This window comes from Homo sapiens, chromosome 8, assembly GCF_000001405.40.
Source record: "Homo sapiens chromosome 8, GRCh38.p14 Primary Assembly".
In the NCBI taxonomy this organism is placed as follows: domain Eukaryota; kingdom Metazoa; phylum Chordata; class Mammalia; order Primates; family Hominidae; genus Homo; species Homo sapiens.
Window position 1 is genome coordinate 140,443,796 of NC_000008.11, and position 23,711 is coordinate 140,467,506.

A 23,711-nucleotide genomic window follows, 5' to 3' on the forward strand; every position below is an offset into this window, starting at 1 on the left:
GGAGGCCGAGGCGGGCAGATCACCTGAGGTCAGGAGTTTGAGACCAGCCTGGCCAACATGGTGAAACCCCATCTCTACTAAAAACACAAAATTAGCCAGGCGTGGTGGCGGGCTCCTGTAATCCCAGCTACTCGGGAGACTGAGGCAGGAGAATGGCCTGAACCGGGGAGGCGGAGCTTGCAGTGAGCCAAGATCACGCCACTGCACTCCAGCCTGGGCGACAGAGCTAGACTCCATCTCAAAAAAAAAAAAAAAAAAAAAAAAAGATTAGCCGGGCATGGTGGCACACACCTGTAGTCCCAGCTACTCAGGAGGCTGAGGCAAAAGAATTGCTTGAACCTGGGATGCAGAGGTTGCAGTGAGCAGAGAACATGCCACTGCCCTCCAGCCTGGGCAACAGAGTGAGACTCTGTCTCAAAAAAAAAAAAAAAAAAGAACTGCTTCCTCAATAGTAACTACAATGTTCATAAGAGGGTTTTGTTTTGTGTTTTTTATCTTTTGTTAAAAAGAGCTATTCCAGAACTATCCAACAGTCCCTCCCCCAATTCCCCAGCACCTCTCTCCTCAAGATGCCCTTCCTGATCTGCCCTTCTGGGTCCATGGGAAAGACAGTCTGTTCAGCTGGGACTCCATCCTGCTGCCAGGACGGAGGCGGTGAAGGGCAAATCTGGCCACATCATTCCCTTCGGATTTCTTTAGTAGCAGCCCCACCCCCAGTACCTTTAGAAGAAGTGGCAGCTGCACCTAAAACCCCTAACTCCGTGGAATAATATAGAAAACCCCAGTCAGGAGCAGTGGCTCACGCCTGTAACCTCAACACTTTGGGAGACTGAAGCAGGAGGATCACCTGAGGTCAGGCGTTCAAGACCAGCCTAGCCAACATGGTGAGACCCCCCCCATCTCTACTAAAAATACAAAATTAGTGGGGCATGGTTGCAGATGCTTGTAATCCTAGCTACTTAGGAGGCAAGGCTGGAGAATCACTTGAACCGGGGAGGCGGAGGTTGCAGTGAGCTGAGATGGTACCACTGCATTCCAGCACGGGCAACAAGAGTGAAACTCCAATCTCAGGAAAAAAAAAAAAAACAGGATCTGGGCTGTCCTCCAGTCTCCTGGTCACAGCAAGCACCCAGGGGTCAGCCCGGGGCCTTCCTCCTACCTCCATCTGCATTCTCCCTCGCTCAGCTCATCCACCTTCAGGGTTTTCAACACAGGCTACATACTGCCAACAACCATGTGTCTCTCTAGTCCACCTCCTGCCCCTGAGCTCCGGACTCACATCCGATTGCCTCTTTAATCTCTCCGTTTGAATGCCCAACAGGCATCTCAAAAACACTTCCCCCATGGCCTCCCAGTTTCCCCCATGGTAAGAAACAGCCCACCGGCTACTCTGTTCGAGTCACACTCTCAGACAGATTTCTCCTTTCTGTCCATCATCTCTTCCCCACCTCTGTCTCTAAAGTATATCACAGCTTCGTGCCCCAGCACCTAGCACAGCACATGGCAAGCTTCCCGTAAATGTGTGCTGAGTCACCTCTGGAGGTCACCTGCTAATGAGGGAGGTCTCTCCTGGCACAGGTCACTTAGGAAAGGCGCTTGTCTCTCACACAGGAGGTGGAGAGGACAGCCCAGGACAAGGACTCAAGACTCTCCTGTGGTCTGAACTCTGAAGGGCCTGCGGTCCAGGAGAGCACCTGGGTTGTGAACTCCGAGACTCGGCTGCCAGGAGAGCAGGGGAGGAGGGAGCCCGGGCCAGGCTGTCCCCATGGATCCTGGGAGCCAGTGGCGGCAGAAAAGGCCCACAACCCAGGGTTAAACCAGCCACCACTGGATCCCTGCCCTGCATTTTCCAAGCTGGACAGCTACGACTTCCTGTACTTAATACATTCATGTCTCTTCTGTTCCACCACCCTAGAATGTGATGAAATCTTTCAGAAAGCCCAGCCTGTCTCAACTGGGACAAAGCAAATGAAGAAAGAAAGTGTTGGTACTTGGACCAGAGCACTGAGGAAGAAACAAGGCCCCTGGGCAGTGAGGTGGTGGCAGCAGGTCACAGAGCGAGAACCTTTCCCTGAGGGGGATGAAACCACAGGGGACTAGGCCAGCCAAAGAGTGTCCTGCAGGGCTGCCCTTGGTGTTGGAGACTCTAGATCAGTAATGCAAACAAATGATGTGCCACCAGTGAGGGACATTAGCGTCAACAAATGCAGACACTGGCTTGGTGCAGTGGCTCATGCCTATAATCCCAGCACTTTGGGAGGCCAAGGCAGGTGGATCACTTGAGGTCAGGAGTTCGAGACCAGCCTGGCCAACATAGTGAAACCCTGTCTGTACTAAAAATACAAAAAACTAGCCTGGTGTGGTGGCACATGCCTGTAATCCCAGCTACTTGAGAGGCTGAAGCAGGAGAATTGCTTCAACCCAGGAGGTGGAGTTTGCAGTGAGCCAGGATCGCGCCACTGCACTCCAGCCTGGGCGAAAGAGTAAGACTCTGTCTCAAAAAAAAAAAAAAAAAAAGCAGACACAGTTATTTCTATGTCTTACCTACATGAGGTTAAATGGAAAGTCTGTACAATAGCTAAGGTTGAACTGCCTCTCTGGTTCTGAATGCTCATTGGCAGAAGCAAAAAGGAAAGTGGTCACTTATACAGGGCCTTGTGTCTGCAAGATCCAAGTGAACTAGAAGGCCGTATTTCCCTGACACTTAAACAAATTGCCCTTGAGCCCTCATAAGGGGCGCAAAAGACTGGTGTGGGTTTTTTTGTTTTTTATTTTGAGATGGAGTTTCGCTCTTGTCGCCCAGGCTAGAGTGCAATGGCATGAGCTCGGCTCACTGCAACTTCTGCCTCCCAGATTCAAGTAATTCTCTTGCCTCAGCCTCTCAAGTAAGCTGGGACTACAGGCACATGACACCACGCCCGGCTAACTTTTTTATTTTTGGTACAGACAGGGTTTCACCATGTTGACCTCAGGTGATCCACCCACCTCCGCCTTCCAAAGTGCTGGGATTACAGATGTGAACCACCGCACCCAGCCTGGTGTGGGTTTTAGAATGGCCTGTGTCTCCTTTACGGTGGAAAGTCGCTGAGGTGAAGGAAATGGGAAATGGCATGCTCCAGGCAGAAGCAAAAGAAAAGACAGCCGCACCCTCCCGCAGCTCCCCTGGCCACCAGCACACTCCAGCTCCAGCATTCCTTGCCTTCATGCACGGCCCACAGCCACAGCCGGGAATCACAGGCCAGAAACGTTCGCTCAGAAGCCCAGGATCAAGCATGGCGCTGCAGCCTGGGACTTTTGCAGTTAAGCTATCCCAGGAAAACCCCCTAAAGCCGCCTAAATCAATTAGCAATTCACTTCCTCAAAACAAACAAACCAAAGAATAAAGGCTGGTGTGTCACTAAATGCTACAGACTGAACAAGATCCCCCAGAGCAAATATTTTAGCAAACACCAAACGCCAATGGGTTACCTGCTAAAAAAAAGCTAAAATTAAAAAACATATTTTAAAAAAATGAAAAGACTATCCAGTTAACATATAGATTTAGACAGCAGTGTTTGTTTTTTAAAGCAGTGAAGGCTATGAGAAGGCAGCACATAGGGAAATCTAGCTATTTTTAATGCAACATGTTGACAGCCTACCTTTTCAGACCCAATAACACACTCACAGGGCAGTATGACAGAAAAAAAGAAAAAGAAAAAGAAAAGAAAGAGGAACAAGCAAAAATTAGAAACATATAAGAACAGAAATAATTTTGATAACTACAACACTACATGGACAAGAATGGGCCATGGGTTTTCATGAGGGGCACATGTGAGCTGGTAAGTAAATTACACCTACACCTCGTGTACCGGGGAACTCCAGGTCCCGAAGGTAGAATGACCTGTCAGGAGGCCTATCAGTATGGTCAATGTGTCAAACCAAAACTGGCCTTACATCTGGACATTTCCTGTTGAGCTACAAAATACCACCCCATTTCAGGTTGGACACTTCCTCACTCCTACCAAGAGCTGCAGGGGAGACAAGGCTTTGTTCCTGCACCAAAGCATTCCTTCAAAAATTAGAGAACCAGCCAGGCACTGTGGCTCACACCTGTAATCCCAGCACTTTGGGAGGCCGAGGCAGGTGGATCACTTGAGGTCAGGAGTTCGAGACCAGCCTGGCCAACATGGTGAAACCCTGTCTCTACTAAAAATACAAAAATTAGCTGAGTGTGGTGGCGCACGCCTGTAATCCCAGCTACTCAGGAGGCTGAGGCACAAAGAATCGCTTGAGCCCAGGAGGTGGAGGTTGCAGTGAGCCGAGACTGCACCACCACACTCCAGCCTGGGTGACAGAGCAAGACACCATCTCAAAAAAAAAAAAAAAAAAAAAATTAGAGAACCATGGAGAAACAAAAGCAACAACAGGTTACCCATTATGAGAGGAGGATGTATTTGATTTGAGTTCACTGGTGTCATTATCTCACTGAAGTTCAAATGCTAACTGATGTCTAATTGCGGCTGTCCCACTACAGTGAGCAAGCAGCTTTATGTGCCACTGTATTTTCAGTGCCTGGAGCCATGCCTGGCATATGAAGGCTCTAACAAACACTTGTCAGTCCTTATCCACTATGCGTGACGCACTGCGTCACAGCACACTCCCGCTCCTCCTGCAGAGTTGTGAGCTCAGATTTCAAAAGGCAAAAAAGACCTGGCATTTGAAGGTGGATCTGCAACCTCACAGCCAAGAAGTGGATGACTGAAAAATGTCACTGATGCCCATGTGGCAAAGGAGGAAGGCATGAGTCAAGGGGTCAGAGCAGGATTCCTGACCCATGCTGCCTGTGAGCTTCAACCCCTCACCCCTTCTCTGTAAAGCAGGGGCAGGCCACTCCCTGCCGACCTGGCAGGTGGCCGCCAAGCTGTGCACACCATACAGCAACACCTTATCAGGGATGACTCCCACAGTGCCTGCTGGCTGGACAGCAGTGTGCGCTATTCACGAGGCACAGGAGGCGCAGCAGAAGGCAACAAGGTGAGGTAGAAAGGCCCCGGGCCTCAGAGACAGACCTGGTGCTTATATCAGCTCTGCTGCTTGGTGGCTGCCCGGGTCTCTAAACCTTGCTGCCTCAGCCCCACATCAGCCAGCACAGCAACCCCGTGTAGATCACAGGGCTGCCGTGAGGATTAAACACAGAGCAGGTCTACAGCATGCCTTTTCCTTTCCTTAAGCCAAATATGCACATTTGGGTGAAGAAATGAAAATTCCTTCCTTCCAGACCCTGCAAAGCACCACAGGCAGGTGCGACTGAGGCTATTCCATGCTTCCAACTCTGAGGGCTGGATTTAAGACTACTGTGTCTCAATTCTGTGATCATCTCTCCTCATACTTACCAACAACCAGAACGACACCGTGTGACCTTAGATAAATTTCAGAAACATACTGAGCACCTACTTTGCAGCAGGCACTATGGTGGCATGCACCTTACATCACTGAATCCTCACCTGTGGCTCATCAGCCAATCCTATACAGGAGGAGGGAGAGCCCTGTCCAAGCCAGGAGGCCAGTGACTGACACAGTGACACATCACTTTCCCTGGCAAATGGGGACGCCCTCTTGGCAAACAGCTGCTGCCTAGGCTTGCATCTCATCCAGCTCTGCAGAACAGCCACCATGGCAAGACACAGCAGCAAGCAGAGAGTGGAAGGAAGTGGCAAGGAAGAGCTCATCTGCAATTTTGATTTGAAATAAAGTTTTTGACTTAATAACAGGCAAGATGGGAAGCTGACCTTTTCCTGCTCTATCCAACACTCCTTGTACACAGAGAGAACAGACATACTTTTCATTTGTATACGGTAGCTGTTTAGGAGCTCCCAGGTGGTATTTCTGGCATCCTGATATCCATGCTTGGCTGCTTTGTAAGTGAGGAATTCGACACTGTGGCCATCAGGAGGGAAAAAGTAGCCACATACGCAGGGTGCACAGCCTGGCAATCCGGAGACGTGGGCTCTACTTCTAGCTCAGCTAGGACCTAGCCCTTACCTCTCCAGATTCACCCTCTCATCTGTGAACCAAAGGGACGAGACTGAATAAAACTGTTCAAACTGTGCTCTAGCACAGTGCTGTCCAACAGAAATAAAATGCAAGCCACGTAAGTACATTTCAGTTTCTAGTTGCCACATTTTTAAAAGTAAGAATGAAACAGTTGATACTGATTTTTAAAATATAGTTTATTTAACCTAAGATATGTAAAATACTATCATTTCAACATGTAATCTGTATAAAACATATTAGCAAGAAAGTTGGCCAGGCACAGAGGCTCACACCTGTAATCCCAGCACTTTGGGAGGCCAAGGCAGGCAGATCACTCAAGGCCAGGAGTTCAAGACCAGCCTGGCCAACGTGGCAAGATCCTGTCTCTATTAAAGATACAAAACTTAGCCAGGCATGGTGGCACCTGCCTGTAGTCCCAGCTACTTGGGAGGCTGAGGCATGAGAATCACTTGAACCCGGGAGGTGCACGTTGCACTGAGCCAAGATCGCGCCACTGCACTCCAGCCTGAGAGACAGAGTAAGACTCTGTCTCAAAAAAAAATTAGCAAGAAAGTTTATTTTTTCAGAAGTAAGTCTCAAAATCTGGCGTGGGTTTTATTCACAGCCCATCTCAACTAAAACTAGCCTCGTGTCTAGTGCCCAAAAGCCACAACTGGCTGTGGCTGCTGTATGGGACAGAGCTCCAGGAGTCCCACGAGGGGAGCCCCACTAAAAAGAGGGGAGTGTACAAGACAACTCTAAAGGACTCCCCCAACCAAAGGCTGTCTCTGTCTTTAAAAGTCACTGGTTTTTGTTTGGTTGGTTTTTTTAGCAGCACTCAAACAGATTCTGACAGAAAGTCATTAGTTTTAAAAACCAATGGACAACACCTTTCTACTCCTTGCTGCAATGAAATTCTGCCCTGTGCTTTCCCTTTCTGATGCAGGGAAGCCAAGGGGCCTGGGTCTCTAGGTAAGCTTACCTGCTGTCTGTGTCCAGTCCTACAAAGTCCTTTTTCTCAAACGGGACACAGAGAAGGGGGATCTTATCCCCAGACTTGTCTGTGGCTCTGTCCAGACGCTTGGACTCCAGCACGATGAACAGTGACTCGATGAAGTCCTCGATTCTCTTCTCCACCGTCTGGCAGTCCTCGTAGTTGGGGTAGAAAGCCACGTCGGTGCGCGGCTGCTCCACGATCTCCCCCTGCAGCCCGAAGACAAAGAGCCGGGAGTCATACAGTGTGGAGCCGTAGATCTCCTTCTGCACGTGGAACTTCTCAAAGGTCTGTGGCCAGTCCTTGGCCGAGAAGCAGTCTGTGATGGTGATGAGGCCCACGACTTTGCGGTGGGTCTGGAAGTCACCCCACTCGTTGTTCTCGGGTGGGTAGTGGTGCCTGTAGCGGATGTAGAGGACTCGCTGGGAGTCCCGCACGCTGATCTGACTCACAGAGCAAATCCTCTTATAGATCCTGAAGAAGTTCTCCTCGGAGACGATGCCCACAGGCTGGACCACCACGAGCAGCGTCTGGTGGTCCTCAGCACACTGCATGTAGTCAGGGACGCTCATTTTGAAGTCCCTGTTCAGAGAGAAGAAATGAGGCTGTGAGACACAGAGTCCTGAGTGCTGAGAGCCTACCCTGGGAGGCAGTGACTGTGACCTTCACTACCCAGAGGCAGGGGAAGCCCCAAGGAAAGCCGTGGCATCAACAGGTCTTAGGGCTCTACACGTGGCTGTCGCAGCTCTGATCATAATGCTGTAACTGTTGACCTTCAGTCCCTTGGCCTCAGCATGGAGCTTCTACAGAAATGGGGCTGTTTCTTGTCTTTCTATTCTCACCACCTAACCAGGAGTAGTAAGAGTCAGTGCTCAAAAATGTCTGTTGAGTGAATGAATAAACACGTGTGTAATTGCTCCCCCATCCCCTCAACAGGATATTAAGAAAAATCCACCATGCAATCACATCTGGATTTGAATTCCGGGCTCCCTGGAACTCCTCAGCTACAAAATAGTGGTGATAATAGAACTTGTCTTGGCCGGGCATGGTGGCTCATGCCTGTAATCCTAACACTTTGGAAGGCCGAAGCTGGCGGATCACTTGAGGTCAGGAATTCGAGACCAGCCTGGCCAACATGGTGAAACCCCACCTATACTAAAAATACAAAAATTAGCCGGGTGTGGTGGCACGTGCCTGTAATCCCAGTTACCCAGGAGGCTGAGGCAGGAAAATCACTGGAACCCGGGAGGTGAAAGCTGCAGTGAGCCAAGATTGCGCCACTGCACTCCAGCCTGGGTGACAGAGTGAGACTCCGTCTCAAAAAAAAAAAAAAAAGAGGCGGGGCGCAGTGGCTCACACCTGTAATCCCAGCACTTTGGGAAGCTGAGGCAGGCAGATCACAAGGTCAGAAGATCGAGATCATCCTGGCTAACATGGTGAAACCCCATCTTTACTAAAAATACAAAAAATTAGCCCGGCGTGGTGGCAGGCACCTGTAGTCCCAGCTACTTGGGAGGCTGAGGCAGGAGAATGGCATGAACCAGGGAGGCAGAGCTTGCAGTGAGCCCAGATGGCGCCACTGCACTCCAGCCTGGGCGACAGAGCCAGACTGCATCTCAAAAAAAAAAAAAAAAAAAAAGAATTAAAAGAAAAAGAACTTGCCTTATAAAACTGTATCTAGATTGAGGAGGTTGCGAATGTAAAGGGCCTAGCATTGTGCCTAACATAAAAGGAGAGATTACACAAATATACCACCTTTCCTTTATAAATGGGAGAGTTGCCATAACCTCTCTGAGCCAATTTTGTCAGATATAAAAAGAAAACGTTATTACCTGATTCCCCAGAGCTGGGGAAAAATTAAATTAGATGACCCACGTGAAAGAATCTGGCTCATAGGAGATCCTCAATACATGTTTGTTGAAGGGATTAGTGAACAAACAAACAAATGAACAATCCAATGAATGCTGCCCCCAGCCTACAGACGGTCATGATGGAAATCCCACTGCCTGGAAGTCAGGGCCGATATTCAACTCCCAGCTCTACACGCACGATCTGGGTGACCTGGAGCAAGCCTGTGTGCTTCCCTGAACCCTAGTTTCATTGTGAATAAAAATGAGGATAGTAACACATACCTCAAGGTGTCAGCAAGTCAACATTCTGGTTGTGATAACATACTGTGGTTTTGTAACATGGCACCACGGGGGGAAACTGGGCAAAAGGTATATAGGATCCCTCAGTATTATTTCTGACAAATGCACATGGAGCTACAACTACTATAGTCTCAAATAAAAAGTCTAATTTTTTTAAAGGTTAGGGAGATTAAATGAGCTCTCTGTATCAAATAAGAAAAAGATGCCTCGATACACACCTCCACTGTCCCCATCAGTGGGCTGACACTTCCTGAGGGGATTTGGCCATGGTCCCCATGGCCAGAGGCAGCTGTACCATGAGCTAATGGGGTTCAGCTTCAGGCCCCTTCCATGGCCCTCTATCTAATTTTGCATTTTTAATTTTGTTTTCTTTTTCTTAAATAGGAAGCCCAAAACTGCATAACCTTCAGGTCACCAAAGCCTGACTGCAGAGATCGTGGCAGTAAAACCCTCCCAGGTGACACTAAGATTAAAGTGACATTGCTATAAGACCTCTGTGAAATTCTAATGGCAAGCTTCTCACCTGCACGGAGAGGAGGAGGACTGTGTGTCGGGGGCTATCCTGGACATCACAACCCCACCTCTACAGACTTCAAAAATACACATGGATAGAGAAGTATGAACAAAATTAAATTTTAAAAAAAGGAAACCCTAGCCTCCCAACATGTCTTGCTTCTGCCCAGGATCTAAACGGTTCACAAGTATATTACATGTGTGTGACTCAGCCCAAGTCCCTGACTCCAGTGCTCACGCTCTCAAGGACGACGCCCCACTCTCTCCTGCCCTTTCCCCACAACGATTCCCTAAAGAGTCTTTTCTGCACACAAAAACCACCTTCGAAAGAACCAAAATCACATCACCTTCCAACAAAGAGGCATAAAACCCCTCGGAGGACATATCAAAATACTGAGCGGGGGAGACTGGAGCGCTCATGTTTCTCAAAAGTAGGCACAGGTTTAACAGAAGCTGAGAAACACCGAAGCCTTCATTCTACAGAGGAGGAGAGCGCGGCCCACCGCAGGTAACAAAGGGCCTTATTTTAGAAGTATCATCTCGGCCAGACACGGTGGCTCACACCTGTAATCCCAACACTTTGGGAGACAGAGGCGGGAGGATCACTTGAGGTCAGCAGTTAGAGACCAGCCTGGTCAACATGACAAAACCCCATCTCTATTAAAAATACAAAAATTAGCCAGGAGTGGTAGCACACACCCGCAGTCCCAGCTACTCCAGAGGCTGAGGCAGGAGAATTGCTTGAACTCAGGAGGTGGAGGAGGCAGTGAGCCAAGATCACAACACTGCACTCCAGCCTGGGTAACAGAGCGAGACTCCATCTCAAAAAAATTAATAAATAAAAATGATTTAAAAATAAAAACTATCGTCTCATCTAAAAAGCAGCATAATCAGCCGGGTGTGGTGGCTCACACCTGTAATCCCAGCACTTTGGGAGGCGGAGGCAGGCAGATCACTTGAGGTCAGGAGTTGGAGACCAGCCTGACCAACATGGAGAAACCCGGTCTCTAATAAAAATACAAAAAATTAGCCAGGCGTGGTGGCGCATGCCTGTGATCCCAGCTACTCAGGAGGCTGAGGCAGGAGAATCGCTTGAACCCAGGAGATGGGGGTTGCAGTGAGCCGAGATCACGCCACTGCACTCCAGCCTGGGCAATAAGAGTAAGACTCCCTCTCAAAAAAAAAAAAAAAAAAAACACAACCTGACCTCACACCTGTGATCTCAACACTTTGGGAGGCCAAGTCGAGTGGATCGCCTGAGGTCAGGAGTTCGAGACCAGCCTGGCCAACATGGCAAAACCCTTTCTCTACTAAAAATACAAAAATTAGCCAGGCTTGGTGGCATGCACCTATAATTCCAGCTACTTGGGAGGCTGAGGCACGGGAATCGCTTGAACCCAGGGAGGAGGAGGTTACAGTGAACTGAGATCACACCACTGCACTCCAGCCTGGGTGACAAAGTAAGACTCTTTAAAAAAAAAAAAAAAAAGACACCTGCCACTGAGCCAGTTCTGGTATCTGAGACTAAGCTAATACAGGTATTAAAACAGCAAAAATATGTATCTTCAACTTGGTAGTTCCTCCATAGAGCTACTATAAAACCAGCAATCCAAGAGATCTGAAAACATGTGTCCACACCAGAAACATGTACAGGAATGTACATAGCAGTATTATTCCTCTTTTTCTGAGATGGAGTTTCGCTCTGTCACCCAGGCTGGAGTACAGTGGCAGGATTTCAGCTCACCTCAACCTCTGCCTCCCAGGTTCAAGCGATTCTCATGCCTCGGCCTCCCGGGTAGCTGGGACTACAGGCGTGAGCCACCATGCTCGGCTAATTTTTGTATTTTCCGTGGAGATAGGGTTTTGCCATGTTGTCCAGGCTGGTCTCGAACTCATGATCTCAGGTGATCCACCCGCCTCAGCCTCCCAAAGTGCTGGGATTACAGGCACAACATTATTCTTGTTTTTTGTTTGTTTGTTGTTTTGAGATGGAGTCTCACTCTGTCGCCAGGCTGGAAAGCAGTGGCGCGATCTCGGCTCACTGCAAACTCCGCCTCCCAGGTTCAAGGGATTCTACTGCCTCAGCCTCCCAAGTAGCTGGGACTACAGGCGCCCACCACCATGCCCAGCTAATTTTTGTATTTTTAGTAGAGAGGGGGTTTCACCATGTTGGCCGGGATGGTCTCGATCTCTTGACCTCGTGATCTGCCCGCCTCGGCCTCCCAAAGTGCTGGGATTACAGGCGTGAGCCACCATGCCTGGCCAGGCACAGCATTATTCTTAATAGCTAAGGAGTGAAAACAACACAAATGTCCATCAACTGCCTGATACACAAAATGTTAAATCTATACAATGGAATATTATTCAGCCACAGAAAGGAACAAAGTGCTGATGTAAGCCACAACATGAATAACTTTAGAGCACTGTGCTGAATGAAAGAAGCTAAATACAAAAGGCCACATGTTGTATGATTCCATTAATAGGAAATGCCCTGAATATGCAAATCTATATATATCGAAAGTAAACCGGTGGCCGCCAGGGGCTGTCGGAGGGGGGAATGAGGAGTGACTGCTAATGGGTATGGAGTTTCTTTCTGGGGTGATGAAAATGTTCTGGAATGACAATGGTAACACAAGTGTGAATATACTAAAAATTACTGAATTGGCCAGGCATGGTGGCTCACGCCTGTAATCCCAGTACTTTGGGAGGCCAAGGCGGGTGGATCACGAGGTCAGGAGTTCGAGAGCAGCCTGGCCAACAGAGTGAAACCCCGTCTCTACTAAAAATACAAAAAAAATGTAGCCGGGCATGGTGGCAGGCACCTGTAATCCCAGCTACTCAGGAGGCTGAGGCAGGAGAATCGCTTGAACCCAGGAGGCGGAGGGTGCAGTGAGCCAAGATCGTGCCATTGCACTCCAGCCCAGGCGACAGTGCGAGACTCCGTCTCAAAAAAAAAAAAAAAAGAAAAATCACTGAATTGTACACTTTAAAGCAGTGGATTTTATGGCAGGTAATCGAGGCTCAATGAAGCTGTTATTTTTGACACACTAGATTTCTGAAACATTTATTGTTTACATGTTTCCGGACAACTGTTTTTCCCTCTACACTACTAGTCCTCCACACAATTAAAAAAACGAACAAACACACACAACAAAACCTAGCCAGATCTTTAGGACGGCAATGTTCCTGGGCCTCCAACATCATCCACCCGGTGCTTTGTTTCAGGTTAACAAATAAAGATGTCATAGGTAGCTATGACTACCTTAGAAACACGGGACAGTCACCAGTTTAAACTGGGGCCGTGAGGGATGGAAGGGAAGTCACTCCCCCATACCTTTCAACTGGGCCTTGCTTCCAGCGTTTTAATTCCTCTCTCTATAGAAACATTTGAAGACAGACAACGCATCCTAACACGGGAAAACTTTCGGTTAACAGACATTCACGTTGGGAAGGTCTGCAGGGGTGGAGGGGATTGGGGTGGGCTGACAGGGAGAAGACCACAGGCCAGTAGCCTGACTTCCTCTCCCCAGGGTTCCCTGGGATAAGTTGGAGTTGACAGCGCGCTTATCCCAGAGAGCACCGCCTGATGCCGCCCAGCTAGATCGCAGGCACTTTGAATCCAGGAGACAGGAGGGAAAGGGCTAGGGGAGAAGTCCGGGAACTCAGGGCGGGGAAAGCGCCGGGGGCGTGGGCTGTGCTGGGCCCCAGGCCCCAGCCGCGCGTCCCAGACCCCGCGGGCTCCAGTGGGCTTAGCCAGGCCCAGGGGCGGGGGGCTCCAGCGCCGCGGACGGCCCGGGAGGGGAAGCCAGGCGGAGACAGCTCGGAGGCACAGAGGGGAAGGGGACCCCCGCCGCGAGCTCGGGAGAGCAGAGCCGGCCCGGGCAGCAGGTGTGGGCCGGGTCCCGGACAGGTGTCCGCCGAGTCTTCAGCGGGTGTGGGACACGGCCTTGGACAGATGTAAGCAGAGCGCCAACAGGAGCAAGGGCGCCTCGAGCAGGTGCACGCTGAACCCCGGCCCGGCAGCGGACCCGGACAGGTGTGGCGGGCTCCGCCCGGACAGGTGAGGGCCGGGCGAGCCCCTCCGCGGGACGCGCCGACTCCACGGCCAGCCGCGCAGCCCTCCCCGCAGCCGGTCCGAATTGCCTGACCGGGAGCCCCCCCGCTTTGCACTTACACAGCCGGTGGCCCCGGGCCCGGAGCGGGAGCCCACGACCTGGCGGGCAGCGGGGCCGAGCAGCCTCTGCGGCCACTTCCCAGGCTCTGGGCTGGCGCTTCCTACTGGCGGCCGAGCCGGCGCTGCTCCTGCGCGTGCGCGGAGGCCAGGCCTGGGCCCCCGATCCGTCCCGGGTTTTGCAAGAGACGCGAGGGAAGCAAGGGGGTAGGAGCGAGGGAGAAAAGAGGAAGGAGGAGCGAGGGAGAGAAGAGGGGACAGGGAGGGAGGGGACATGGGGAGGGAGGAGGAGGAGGGAGGAGGGAGAGAAAAAGGTGGGGTGAAAGAAGGAGGGAGGAGGAGCGAGGGAGAGAAGCGGGGACGGGGAGGGAGGAGGAGGAGAGTAGGAGGAGGAGGGGTGAAAGAAGGAGGGAGGGGCAGCGAGAGAGAGAAGCGGGGGACAGGGAGAGGGTGGAGGAGGGAGGAGGGAGGGAAAAAGGAGGGGTGAAAGGAGGGAGGAAGAGGAGGAGGGAAGGAGGGAGATGGAGGGAGATGGAGCGAGGAGGGAGGGAGGGACCGGAGCAAGAGAACAGAGACTAGGAGGAAAGCTTCTGCACCTGGGGCGGCGCAGCTGGAAGGAGGCCCAGTTCTGTCCCCGCCGCTTACCAGTCCTTCAGGGCGCGCAGCTCAAATTTCACTTCCTCTGTGAAGCTCAGGGGTGGAGGCCCCGCGGAAGCCCACTGTGGATCCCTGCGGCACCCCCTGTGACCCTCACGGTACCCCCCGTGACTCCCACGGTCGTGCCCCCCACGTGGGTGGGTGACCGTGGCGCGCGCGGCCTGGGAGCGCCTCCAGGATCGCAGGGCCCGGGAGGCACGTGAGGTGCGAGCCCCAGCCTGGGCCGGCTTCCCCCTGTGTGGCGCGCGGTCTTGATCCCCAGCTGGCACCATGGCACTCCCGACTTTGAGGGCCCCAACAATCCATCCACATAAAAGGTTCCAAAGAGGCGACAGGGGCTAGGACAGCTGTCGTTAGTTCAGTGCCAAGGCGCCAAGCTTGCTAAGTGCGGGCAGAAGCCATTTAAGGATTTAAACCCCTCTGGGTTCAAAAATAAAATAAAATAAAGCAGGAGATGGGGGAGGCTTACAGACTTAAGATGCCCAGCACATGAATTAACAGTGGCATCCGCAGGGAAAATTGAAAACAGAGAGCCGCTCTCCGTTATGTATGTTTAATGTTCTGTTTGAATCTTTTAACATGTACATGTATTTCTTTTTCAATTAAAAAATCCTGGCCAGGAGAAATGGCTCACACCTGTAATCCCAACACTTTGGGAGACTGAGGCGGGTGGATCACTTGAGGTTAGGAGTTCAAGACCAGCCTGGCCAACATGGTGAAACCCCGTCTCTACTAAAAATACAAAATTAGCCAGATGTGGTGGCGCGCGCCTGTAATCCCAGCTACTCAGCAGGCTGAGGCAGGAGAATCGCTTGAACCTGGAAGACAGAGGTTTCAGTGAGCCGAGATCATGCGATTGCACTCCAGCCTGGGCAACAACTGCAAAACTCTATCTCAAACAACAACAACAACAAACACTAAAAAGGGCTGGGTGTGGTGGCTCACACCTGTAATCTCAGCACTTCGGGAAGCCAAGGCGGGTGGATCACCTGAGGTCAGGAGTTCAAGATCATCCTGGGCAACATGGTGAAACTCCAGTCTCCACTAAAAATACAAAAATTAGTTGAGCGTGGTGGTACATGCCTGTAATCCCAGCTACTAGGCAGTCTGAGGCAGGAGAATCTCTTGAACCCGGGAGGCGGGGGCTGCAGTAAACCAAGATCACACCACTGCACTCCAGCCTGGGTGACAGAGAGAGCCCATCTCAAAAAAAAAAAAAAAAAAAATCCTAAAATGGAAAAGTAAAGAGGACAGGAGTGGTTTTCTCAGCACATACAGCAGCAAGGGAGAAATGGTCTGAGCCAGCATTTTTCCTTTCAGCCAGCAGGCACTTACCCGCTCTGGGCTATGTGACCAGGGCTGTTTTATTATCACATGTGTTATAAAATAAGATACTATCCCTCATCCCTGCTCAGGGCTAGTGGAAAACCAATTGAGTTTTTATTGAATTATTTTCTACAGAGTCAGAATGAGTTATAAATAAAACATATCTTCAGGGCAAAACAAATAGAGCTGATTTCCAGCCTGCCAGACAGCCAGGAAGTTTTCAACAGAGGTGCCCAGGGGCTGAGGAAGAGTGTCTCCCTGACAACGCACAAGCTGCCCAACGTGGCTACCTCATGGTGTTACGACCGCATGGAGGCCGTGCAGTGGCTCACAGCTGTAATCCCAGCACTTTGGGAGGCCGAAGCAGACGGATTGCTTGAGCCCAGGAGTTTAAGACCAGCCTGGGCAACACAGGGAAACTCTGTCTCTTGGAAAAAATACCAAAATTAGCTGGGCAGGATGGCACAAACCTGTAGCCACAGCTACTCAGGAGACTGAGGCAAGAGGATCGCTTGAGTCCAGCCAGGTCGAGGCTGCAGTAAACCATGATCACTCTAGCCTGGGAGAGACAGCAAGACCCTGTCTCAAAAAAAAAGTGGTTTTTTTTATTTTTTTTAAATGAATAAATAAACAAAAGAGCGTATGGGCTTAACAGAGAATACAGAAAAGATACATTTAAAAGGCCACTGCTAATGGAGGTCTGAGTGCAGAAACTAGGCTCCAAGCTTACCTCATAAGATCCAAGCAAGGGAGCTATTTTTAGTGCTGAAGTCCAGAAAGGATACCCTACTTGGCTGGGGTCACACAAATGGCTGGTGCTATTTAGGGATTCAAATCCAGGGCTGTCAGACCCCACAGACTCTACTTTTTGCATAGGTCTTTTCTTATTCTGTCTGTAAGTGGATAAGGCAAGCAACTTGGAAAGCAAGATTGAAAGCTGGCAAAAGGAAACATTGCTTATTTGCAATGTACACACTTCAATCAATTTATGTTGCTGTCTCAGCAAATCTGTGGGGGAAGGAGAGCGGGGACTATTATTCTGCTTTTTTTTAAATTTATTTATTTACTTTTTTGAGACAGAGTCTCACTCTGTCACCCAGGCTGGAGTATAGTGGCACGATCTCAGCTCACTGCAACCTCCACCTCCCGGGTTCACGCGATTCTCCTGCCTCAGCCTCCTGAGTAGCTGAGATTACAGGTGCGCGCCACCACACTCGGCTAATTTTTGTATTTTTAGTAGAGACGGGGTTTCACCGTGTTGGTCAGGCTGGTCTCGAACTCCTGACCTCATGATCCTCCCACCTCGGCCTCCCAAAGTGCTGGTATTATTACTCTGCATTTTTACCAATGAGAAAACGGAGGCTCAGAGAGTGTAAGAGCCTGCCACAGCCCAGCCCACAATGATCAAATGAGAACATCCAAAGCAGTCCCCGTACTGTCTAGGTCCTGGGGCTGTGCTCCTTTAGCATCTTTAACATTTCCTAAGCATCTCCTCTGAAGGGTGACAATTCAAACATACAAAACCTGCCCTCAAGGAATTTACAGACATCTAAGGTTGGAAGGAATTTCTAAAATAACCAGGTCCAACCTCATACTCACACTCTCTCCCCTCTACAAAAGTCCTAACAGGCAGAATGCTTTGATGATGTGGCTATTTGTCTTAGTTGGTTTGGGCAGATATAAGAAATTACTAGAACAACACTGAGATCAGGGCGCCAGCATGGGTAGGGTGTGATGAAGGTCATCTTCTGAATGGCAGATGGCTGGCTTCTTGTATTTTCACATGACAGATAGAGAGCAAACTAGCTGTCTGGTCTCTTTTTTTTTTTTTTTTTTAAGATAGAGTCTCACTCTTGTTGCCCAGGCTGGAGTGCAGTGGCGCAATCTCAGCTCACCACAACCTCCACCTCCTGGGTTCAAGCGATTCTCCTGCCTCAGCCTCCTGAGTACTTGGGATTACAGGCATGCACCTCCACACCCAGCTAATTTTTTGTATTTTTTAGTAGAGACAGGGTTTCTCCATGTTGGTCAGGCTGCTCTCAAACTCCCGACCTCAGGTGATTCGCCTGCCTCAGCCTCCCGAAGTGCTGGGATTACAGGCATGAGCCACCGCACCCGGCCTAATTTTGTATTTTAAGTAGAGGCACAGTTTCACCATGTTGGCCAGGCTGGTCTCGAACTCCTGACCTCAGGTGATCCACCTGCCTCAGCCTCCCAAAGTGCTGGGATTACAGGCATGAGCCACCGTGTCCAGCCTGGTCTCTTCTTAGAAGCGCACTAATCCCATTCATGGGGGTTCTGCCCTTATGACCTAATTACCTCCCAAAGGCCCCACATCCATATATGATCATATTGGGGAATAAATTTAAACATATGAATTTGGGAAGAACATGAACATTCAGTTCATAACAAGCTCTACAAGAAAATTATCCAGTAAACTCAGCCAGAATATGCTTCCCTGAAACATCCAGTCAAGGGGTCTCAAGAAATAGGACCAAGCTGGCCTCGGTATCTCATGTCTGTAATCCCAGCATTTTGAGAGGCCAAGGAGGGAGGATTGTTTGATCCCAGGAGCTAGAGATGAGCCCAAGCAACATAGCTAGACCCCATCTCCACACAAAATTTAAAAAATAGCCGGCACGATTGTGCACACCTGTAGTCCCAGCTACTTGGGATGCTGAGGTGAGAGGATTGCTTGAGCTCAGAAAGTCAAGGCTATAGTCAGCTCGATCGTGCCACTGCACTCCAGCCTGGGAGACAGAGCAAAGAGTGAAACTCTGTCTAAATATATATACACACACACATACACACACACACATATAATATATATATAATCTATATATGGGACTAATGCCCCACAAGGCTTGCTGAGGTTGACAATTATCACAGCTGTGAGTTAAAAGTACAGGCTGGGACAGGTACGGTGGCTCATACCTGTAATCCCAGCACTTTGGGAGGCCGAGGCAGGTGGATCACGAGGTCAGGAGTTTGACACCACCCTGGCCAACATGGCAAAACCCCGTCTCTACTAAAAATAATAATAATAATACAAAAATTAGCCGGGCGTGGTGGTGGGCGCCTGTAATCCCAGCTACTCGGGAGGCTGAGGCAGGAGAATCACTTGAACCTGGGAGGCAGAGGCTACAGTGAGCAGAGATCGTGCCACTGCACTCCAGCCTGGGCAACAAGAGCAAGACTCCGTCTCAAAAAAAAAAAAAAAAAGTGCAGGCTAGACTCCAGCCTGGGCAACAGTGTGAGACCCTATCTCAAAAAAAAAAAAAAAAAGTTTAGGACAGAGTCCCTGCTCCATCACTCCCTAATTACTTGCCTTCCATATTTTCAGTTATTATATAAGGATAATCATTTCATAGGGCTATCATTAGGATTAAAGAAAGTGTGAGAAGGCAATTTGAGACAGAATGGACAAATTCTGTCACATGCTACTTGTACAGCCTCAGGGTAAGGTGACCATATAGCTTTACTTTCCTGGTACAATTCCAGCTTATGTCCTGGCTAACGGTGTTCCGGTTGGGTGATCCAATCACTCCACTTTGCACAAAAGCCAGCACCTCTCAAGGGTTTTGATCCCCCACCAGTACCATAAAGAGTTTCTTCTCCTTCCCGTGTTATAGGACTCCATAGTGTCATGTCTCACCTGGGCTTTCTAGCTCACAGGCTATGGAGGGAAAAAATAACTATACTTATTTAGCACAACTAAGAACCAGCTACTTGGTTAGACCTTCATAACTCTTCCTTCAAAATAACACGATGGTAACTACCATTTACAAAACTTTTTTTTATCTTTTTTTTTTTTTTTTGAGACAGGGTCTTGCTCTGTGGCCCAGGCTGAAGCGCAGTGGTGCGATCTTGGCTCACTGTGGATCCTCTTCCTCCTGGGCTCAAGCCAACGTCCCACTTCAGCCTCCCATCATGCCCGGCTAATTTTTGTAAATTTTTTTGTAGAGGCAGGGTTTCCCTACGTTGCCCAGGCTAGTCTGGAACTCCTGAGCCCAAGTGATCCGCCCGTCTCGGCCTCCCAAAGTGCTGGGATTACAGGCGTGAGCCACCGTGCCCGGCCTCATTTATGAAACTCTTATCTGGCAGGCAATGTGCAATGTGCTTGGCATAAATATCTCATATCCTCACAATAATCGTGTAAGGAAGAAACTCGGACTCAACCTCAAGATAAGCACCAAAGCTCATTTTAAACCTCACTGCCCTCTGCAAGATAACTATACAGATGCTCCTCGATTTATGATGGGTTGCTTCCCGATAAGCCCATCGCAAAGTTGAAAAATCCCCTAAGTCGAGCCACCCTAAGTTGGGGACGCCTGCATCATGCTTTCAGAGGTGAATGTAAAGTGGGTGAAGCGGCTCAGTGATTGAGCGCTAGCCAGGATTCCACGCCAGGCCTTTCCGTGTTCAACAGCTGCTTTCAGAAGTGTGGAAGCCTCGGAGAGGGTCCCTGAGGTAAGATGGGCTGAGCGTCGCCGCCTTCTGCAAGGACACCAGCCTTGAGAGAAGAGAGGAGATAAGGTGCAAACGAAGAAAGGCAGGGACGCCGCGGTTTCAGTCGAAGCGTGGGCTCCTTAAGGACAGGGGCTGTGTCCGACTCGGCTCTGAATCCCCAGCGCCTACACAAGCTCTGACACAGCGTATACTCAGTAAACATGGAGTGAATCAGTTCATTCAATGAATGAACGAATGAATGAAACGCCAGAGCCCGCCACAGGGGTCCGCTGCCGCTCCACGCCCGGGCCTCTCACCGGCCAATCAACACTGTGACTCGTACGCCCTGCCCCCTGATGCCACGCCCATCACTCGCCCCTCTGGATTCCCTCCGGCTGCGTGGAAATCCCGGAGCACTGGATTTCCCAGAGGCGCCTCCGGTAGCAGTGCGCATGCTCCAGCGCCGGTAGCTGAGGCATCAATTTCCCGCAGCGCCTAGGGGACGGATTGGAAAGCGATTGGCTTAGGGGACGGAAGCCAAGCTCCACCTGCCTGACACCCGGCTCTTCACGCAGAACCGAAGATTCATTTTGGACAGCCCTTCCCCAGTACCACTCCCACCCCGACGTTGGTCCCAATCGGAACCTATCCTACACAAGGCTGAAAAAAAGAGGGGAGCGACCGGAAGTGACGCACGAGCGCGAGCGGAAAAACAGGGGCCCAGCGCCTGTTGCCGTGGAAACCGAGCCCTCGGCTTGCGTCCCGGGTGCGTCACAGCTCCGGCTGACCACGCCCCGCGCGCGGCCCCGAGGCCCTGAGGCCCAGGGCGGGGACCAAAAGCCGCGCGCTTGTGACGATGTCGCTGCGGGGCACGCTAAGGGGCGGAGAGGAAATTTAGGGCCTGCCTTTTGTACATTCGGTTATTCAGCCCAGAAATATGTATTCAACCCCAGGCGCGTGCCTGGCATTGTGGAAGGCGACACGTGAGGAGAATTGTGACTGGCCCAGATGTCACCCCCCCCCAGCCCAGTAGTCATTCTTCTCTGGAAGTCCTTACCCATCTCACCTGTTCATTCTTCAACCCCCAGTTTCCCGACCTTTTTCCTCAAGCCACGCCCTTCCACGCTTTCTTGTCTTTTCTGTGGTGTTCCTTCAGTCTAGAATATTCTCCACCTAGTACAATCCTGCTCCTCCCCTGACATTCTGCTGAAATTGCACTCTTCAGCCTTCCCAGGTAGCTGTGGGCTGTGACATGTGTCAGAGACTGATGAGTTTTCTTTTTACTTTTCTATATTGTCTCATTTTTTTTCTTTAAGCATACATACATTGATTTTATAATGAAACATAAATCATTTTTAAAGAGATCAGTTATTCTCAAAGAGCTTGTTACTTTCGGGAACACTTTTTGGGGTGTTTATATTTATATGTATTACTATATATGTACTTTATATGTATACTTTTAAATTCACAAAATTGACACGCATTGTAATAAGAATCGTGATTATATCCTTTATCCATAATCACCAATTTTTACATTTTTGCCTCATTTTCACATTCTTCCTCTCTCTCTCTGTGCCAATTATGTCCTTTATAGCTATTTCCCCTCTGTCCAGAATCATACTGTTTCAATTAGTTGTCAAATCTTTTTTTAGTATCCTTTTATCTAGAACAGGGTCTCAGTCTTTCTTCCTCTTTCATGTCTTTGTGAAACTTGCAGCTACCAGGATGAGACAACTCTACTCAGACCCAAGCACACCAAGCCAGGAATGCACAAAGGACGGCTGATGTTTGAGATAAGAACTGTCTCAAGGACTTTCTATAATAACCACACAAGGAATTCCTCATGTACGTCACAAGTCTCATGCGTTTCTCCACCTACGTTTTGCACATGTGCACACATTTATTGATTTAGAGGCAGGGATCTTGCTGTGCTGCCCAGACCGGACTCAAATTCCTGGGCTCAATCGGTCCTCCTGCCTCAGCCTCTAGAGTAGCTGGGACTCCAGGCATGCGCCACCCTGTTATTTCTGTGACCAGGCTTAGCACTAGGCATTCTTTCGGACGACAGCAATTCAAATAAGATGCTCTCCAAAGAACACTTGCCTAGTAGCGGCATCTCCAAAAATAAATTGATGCCGCTCCGGCTTTGAGCCTCCAGAACCAAAGAAACCTGTTTCCAGACAGCTTATGTGAACTTCTACTTTTGGCCAATAAGAGCTCCCACTTACCCCTGCCCTATTCAGGTGCACCTGTGGCTTGCCATAGCCATATAGCCAGGTGCACCATCCTTTTTGCCTGCTCCTGAATAAATTAATTATATTAGGAGACATCTTTCTCTGATGTCTTTTTTAGGTTAGCAACTCTAATATGTTGGAAGAATACAGGCCAGCTACTTTGTAGAATGTTCCTCAATTTGAGTTTGTATGATGCTTTCTCATGATTAGATTCAGGTTATGTATGTTTTGCAAAAATACCTCAGAAGTGATGGCATCCTTGGTGCGGCATCCTTGGTGCATTATATCAGGAGGCAAATGATGTGGGTTTGTCCCATTGTTTGTAATGGTAACATTGGTTGCTTGGTTAAGGTGAAGGGTGCCAAGCTTCTCCACTGTAAAGTTCCTATTTTTTTCTCTGTAATTAATAAGTAATTTGTATGATACTTTGAGATAACAAAGTAGACTGTTCATCAAACTTTCATCAATGAATTTAACATCCAAAGACGCCTCAAGAATGATCATCAAAAGCAGCCTACTAATGACTGTCATTTACCATTTAATACATTTCAAACAGTGCACGTGCTCTGTGACATATTCTGGGAAGGAACATGTTACCTGATACATAATAGGTGATCAATAAATAGTATTTACTGACAGGTTTCCTTCCTTTGTAGATAAATGAAGTTTCTTGTTTCATGGGGTATAATTAGAAGCATTACTTTAATTAGCCATCCTGATTATTCTTACTTTGTACCAGCATCTGCCTCAGTACCTAGTATATATTAGCAATTCATTTTTGAATTAATAATGGAAAATTATGTACACAAACACACATACACACCAAGAAATTATATCAAAAGATTAATTGTGATAATTGAGCAGTTAATGCTTAACCAAGTGTTTTCACCGATGCAGGGCAGTCACTGTTAGAACCAGAAAGCTTTTAAAAGAAAATTATGATAAGTCCAACTTAAGCAAATCAGATTTTACGTTACAAAATAAAGTTCAAGAAAAGAAAGGATTCGAAAGGAAAAAAATTCGAAAAGGATCACGTATGAGAAGCTGCAGTTCCATGTGTGACCACCAGGTGCCGGAACAAGCTAGGTAGCCACACTAGAAAAACAAACGTCCTCATCTGGGCTGAATTTGCATCTAATTGCCTCAAATTGCTTCTGAAACCCAGGATTTTTTCTGTCACTTTGTCAGTGGAGCTTAGGTCAGTG

General features: G+C 49.2%; 1 protein-coding gene and 1 long non-coding RNA gene across 18 annotated transcripts in view, besides 11 other annotated features; one reads left to right on the top strand and one right to left on the bottom strand.

The window, feature by feature from the left end:
- TRAPPC9 (trafficking protein particle complex subunit 9) overlaps nucleotides 1-14,784 on the bottom strand; it is a 730,855-nt gene extending 716,071 nt beyond the window's left edge. For 9 of the 16 annotated variants that reach the window (NR_164662.1, NM_001321646.2, NM_001374684.1 and 6 more), the window contains exons 1-2: nucleotides 13,844-13,949; nucleotides 6,995-7,588 (exon numbers count right to left, since the gene is read on the bottom strand). Coding sequence is in view for 15 of the 16 variants with exons in the window: in NM_001321646.2 (NP_001308575.1) it covers nucleotides 6,995-7,578 (584 nt within the window). In the remaining variant the exon portion in view is untranslated. Of the gene's footprint in view, nucleotides 1-3,638; nucleotides 3,660-6,994; nucleotides 7,589-13,843; nucleotides 13,950-14,485 lie in introns of those variants that run through there. The other 7 variants (XM_011517326.3, NM_031466.8, XM_047422294.1 and 4 more) reach the window with 2 other exon arrangements.
- Nucleotides 3,095-3,389: a silencer, noted in NCBI's record as "tiled region #8823; K562 Repressive non-DNase unmatched - State 14:Gen5'". NCBI's record gives its function as "represses a minimal TATA promoter and a strong SV40 promoter by Sharpr-MPRA in K562 cells {active_cell/tissue: K562}" and the evidence as "EXISTENCE:reporter gene assay evidence [ECO:0000049][PMID:27701403]".
- Nucleotides 4,335-4,908: an enhancer, noted in NCBI's record as "H3K27ac-H3K4me1 hESC enhancer chr8:141458229-141458802 (GRCh37/hg19 assembly coordinates)". NCBI's record gives its function as "activates a minimal SCP1, AML or CMV promoter by ChIP-STARR-seq in naive and primed H9 embryonic stem cells {active_cell/tissue: H9 hESC(naive and primed)}" and the evidence as "EXISTENCE:reporter gene assay evidence [ECO:0000049][PMID:30033119]".
- Nucleotides 4,909-5,481: an enhancer, noted in NCBI's record as "H3K27ac-H3K4me1 hESC enhancer chr8:141458803-141459375 (GRCh37/hg19 assembly coordinates)". NCBI's record gives its function as "activates a minimal SCP1, AML or CMV promoter by ChIP-STARR-seq in primed H9 embryonic stem cells {active_cell/tissue: H9 hESC(primed)}" and the evidence as "EXISTENCE:reporter gene assay evidence [ECO:0000049][PMID:30033119]".
- Nucleotides 13,494-13,543: a silencer, noted in NCBI's record as "silent region_19575". NCBI's record gives its function as "represses an Ori minimal core promoter by ATAC-STARR-seq in GM12878 lymphoblastoid cells {active_cell/tissue: GM12878}" and the evidence as "EXISTENCE:reporter gene assay evidence [ECO:0000049][PMID:35858748]".
- Nucleotides 13,654-14,043: a silencer, noted in NCBI's record as "silent region_19576". NCBI's record gives its function as "represses an Ori minimal core promoter by ATAC-STARR-seq in GM12878 lymphoblastoid cells {active_cell/tissue: GM12878}" and the evidence as "EXISTENCE:reporter gene assay evidence [ECO:0000049][PMID:35858748]".
- Nucleotides 14,134-14,373: a silencer, noted in NCBI's record as "silent region_19577". NCBI's record gives its function as "represses an Ori minimal core promoter by ATAC-STARR-seq in GM12878 lymphoblastoid cells {active_cell/tissue: GM12878}" and the evidence as "EXISTENCE:reporter gene assay evidence [ECO:0000049][PMID:35858748]".
- Nucleotides 14,134-14,803: a biological region, named in NCBI's record as "H3K27ac-H3K4me1 hESC enhancer GRCh37_chr8:141468097-141468615".
- Nucleotides 14,203-14,721: an enhancer, noted in NCBI's record as "H3K27ac-H3K4me1 hESC enhancer chr8:141468097-141468615 (GRCh37/hg19 assembly coordinates)". NCBI's record gives its function as "activates a minimal SCP1, AML or CMV promoter by ChIP-STARR-seq in primed H9 embryonic stem cells {active_cell/tissue: H9 hESC(primed)}" and the evidence as "EXISTENCE:reporter gene assay evidence [ECO:0000049][PMID:30033119]".
- Nucleotides 14,494-14,803: a silencer, noted in NCBI's record as "silent region_19578". NCBI's record gives its function as "represses an Ori minimal core promoter by ATAC-STARR-seq in GM12878 lymphoblastoid cells {active_cell/tissue: GM12878}" and the evidence as "EXISTENCE:reporter gene assay evidence [ECO:0000049][PMID:35858748]".
- Nucleotides 20,304-21,503: an enhancer, noted in NCBI's record as "BRD4-independent group 4 enhancer chr8:141474198-141475397 (GRCh37/hg19 assembly coordinates)". NCBI's record gives its function as "activates an origin of replication core promoter dependent on BRD2, P300/CBP, MED14 and CDK7 cofactors, and independent of BRD4, by STARR-seq in HCT116 cells {active_cell/tissue: HCT116}" and the evidence as "EXISTENCE:reporter gene assay evidence [ECO:0000049][PMID:35650434]".
- LOC105375782 (uncharacterized) lies at nucleotides 21,076-23,144 on the top strand. 2 transcript variants are annotated; one of them, XR_928707.3, is made up of 2 exons: nucleotides 21,076-21,255; nucleotides 21,990-23,144. It is a non-coding gene; the product is annotated as an uncharacterized LOC105375782 (long non-coding RNA). The 2 variants fall into 2 exon arrangements; XR_001746120.2 differs by having other exon boundaries at nucleotides 21,239-21,506.
- Nucleotides 22,000-22,099: a silencer, noted in NCBI's record as "silent region_19579". NCBI's record gives its function as "represses an Ori minimal core promoter by ATAC-STARR-seq in GM12878 lymphoblastoid cells {active_cell/tissue: GM12878}" and the evidence as "EXISTENCE:reporter gene assay evidence [ECO:0000049][PMID:35858748]".
- Nucleotides 23,145-23,711: the final 567 nt, after the last annotated feature.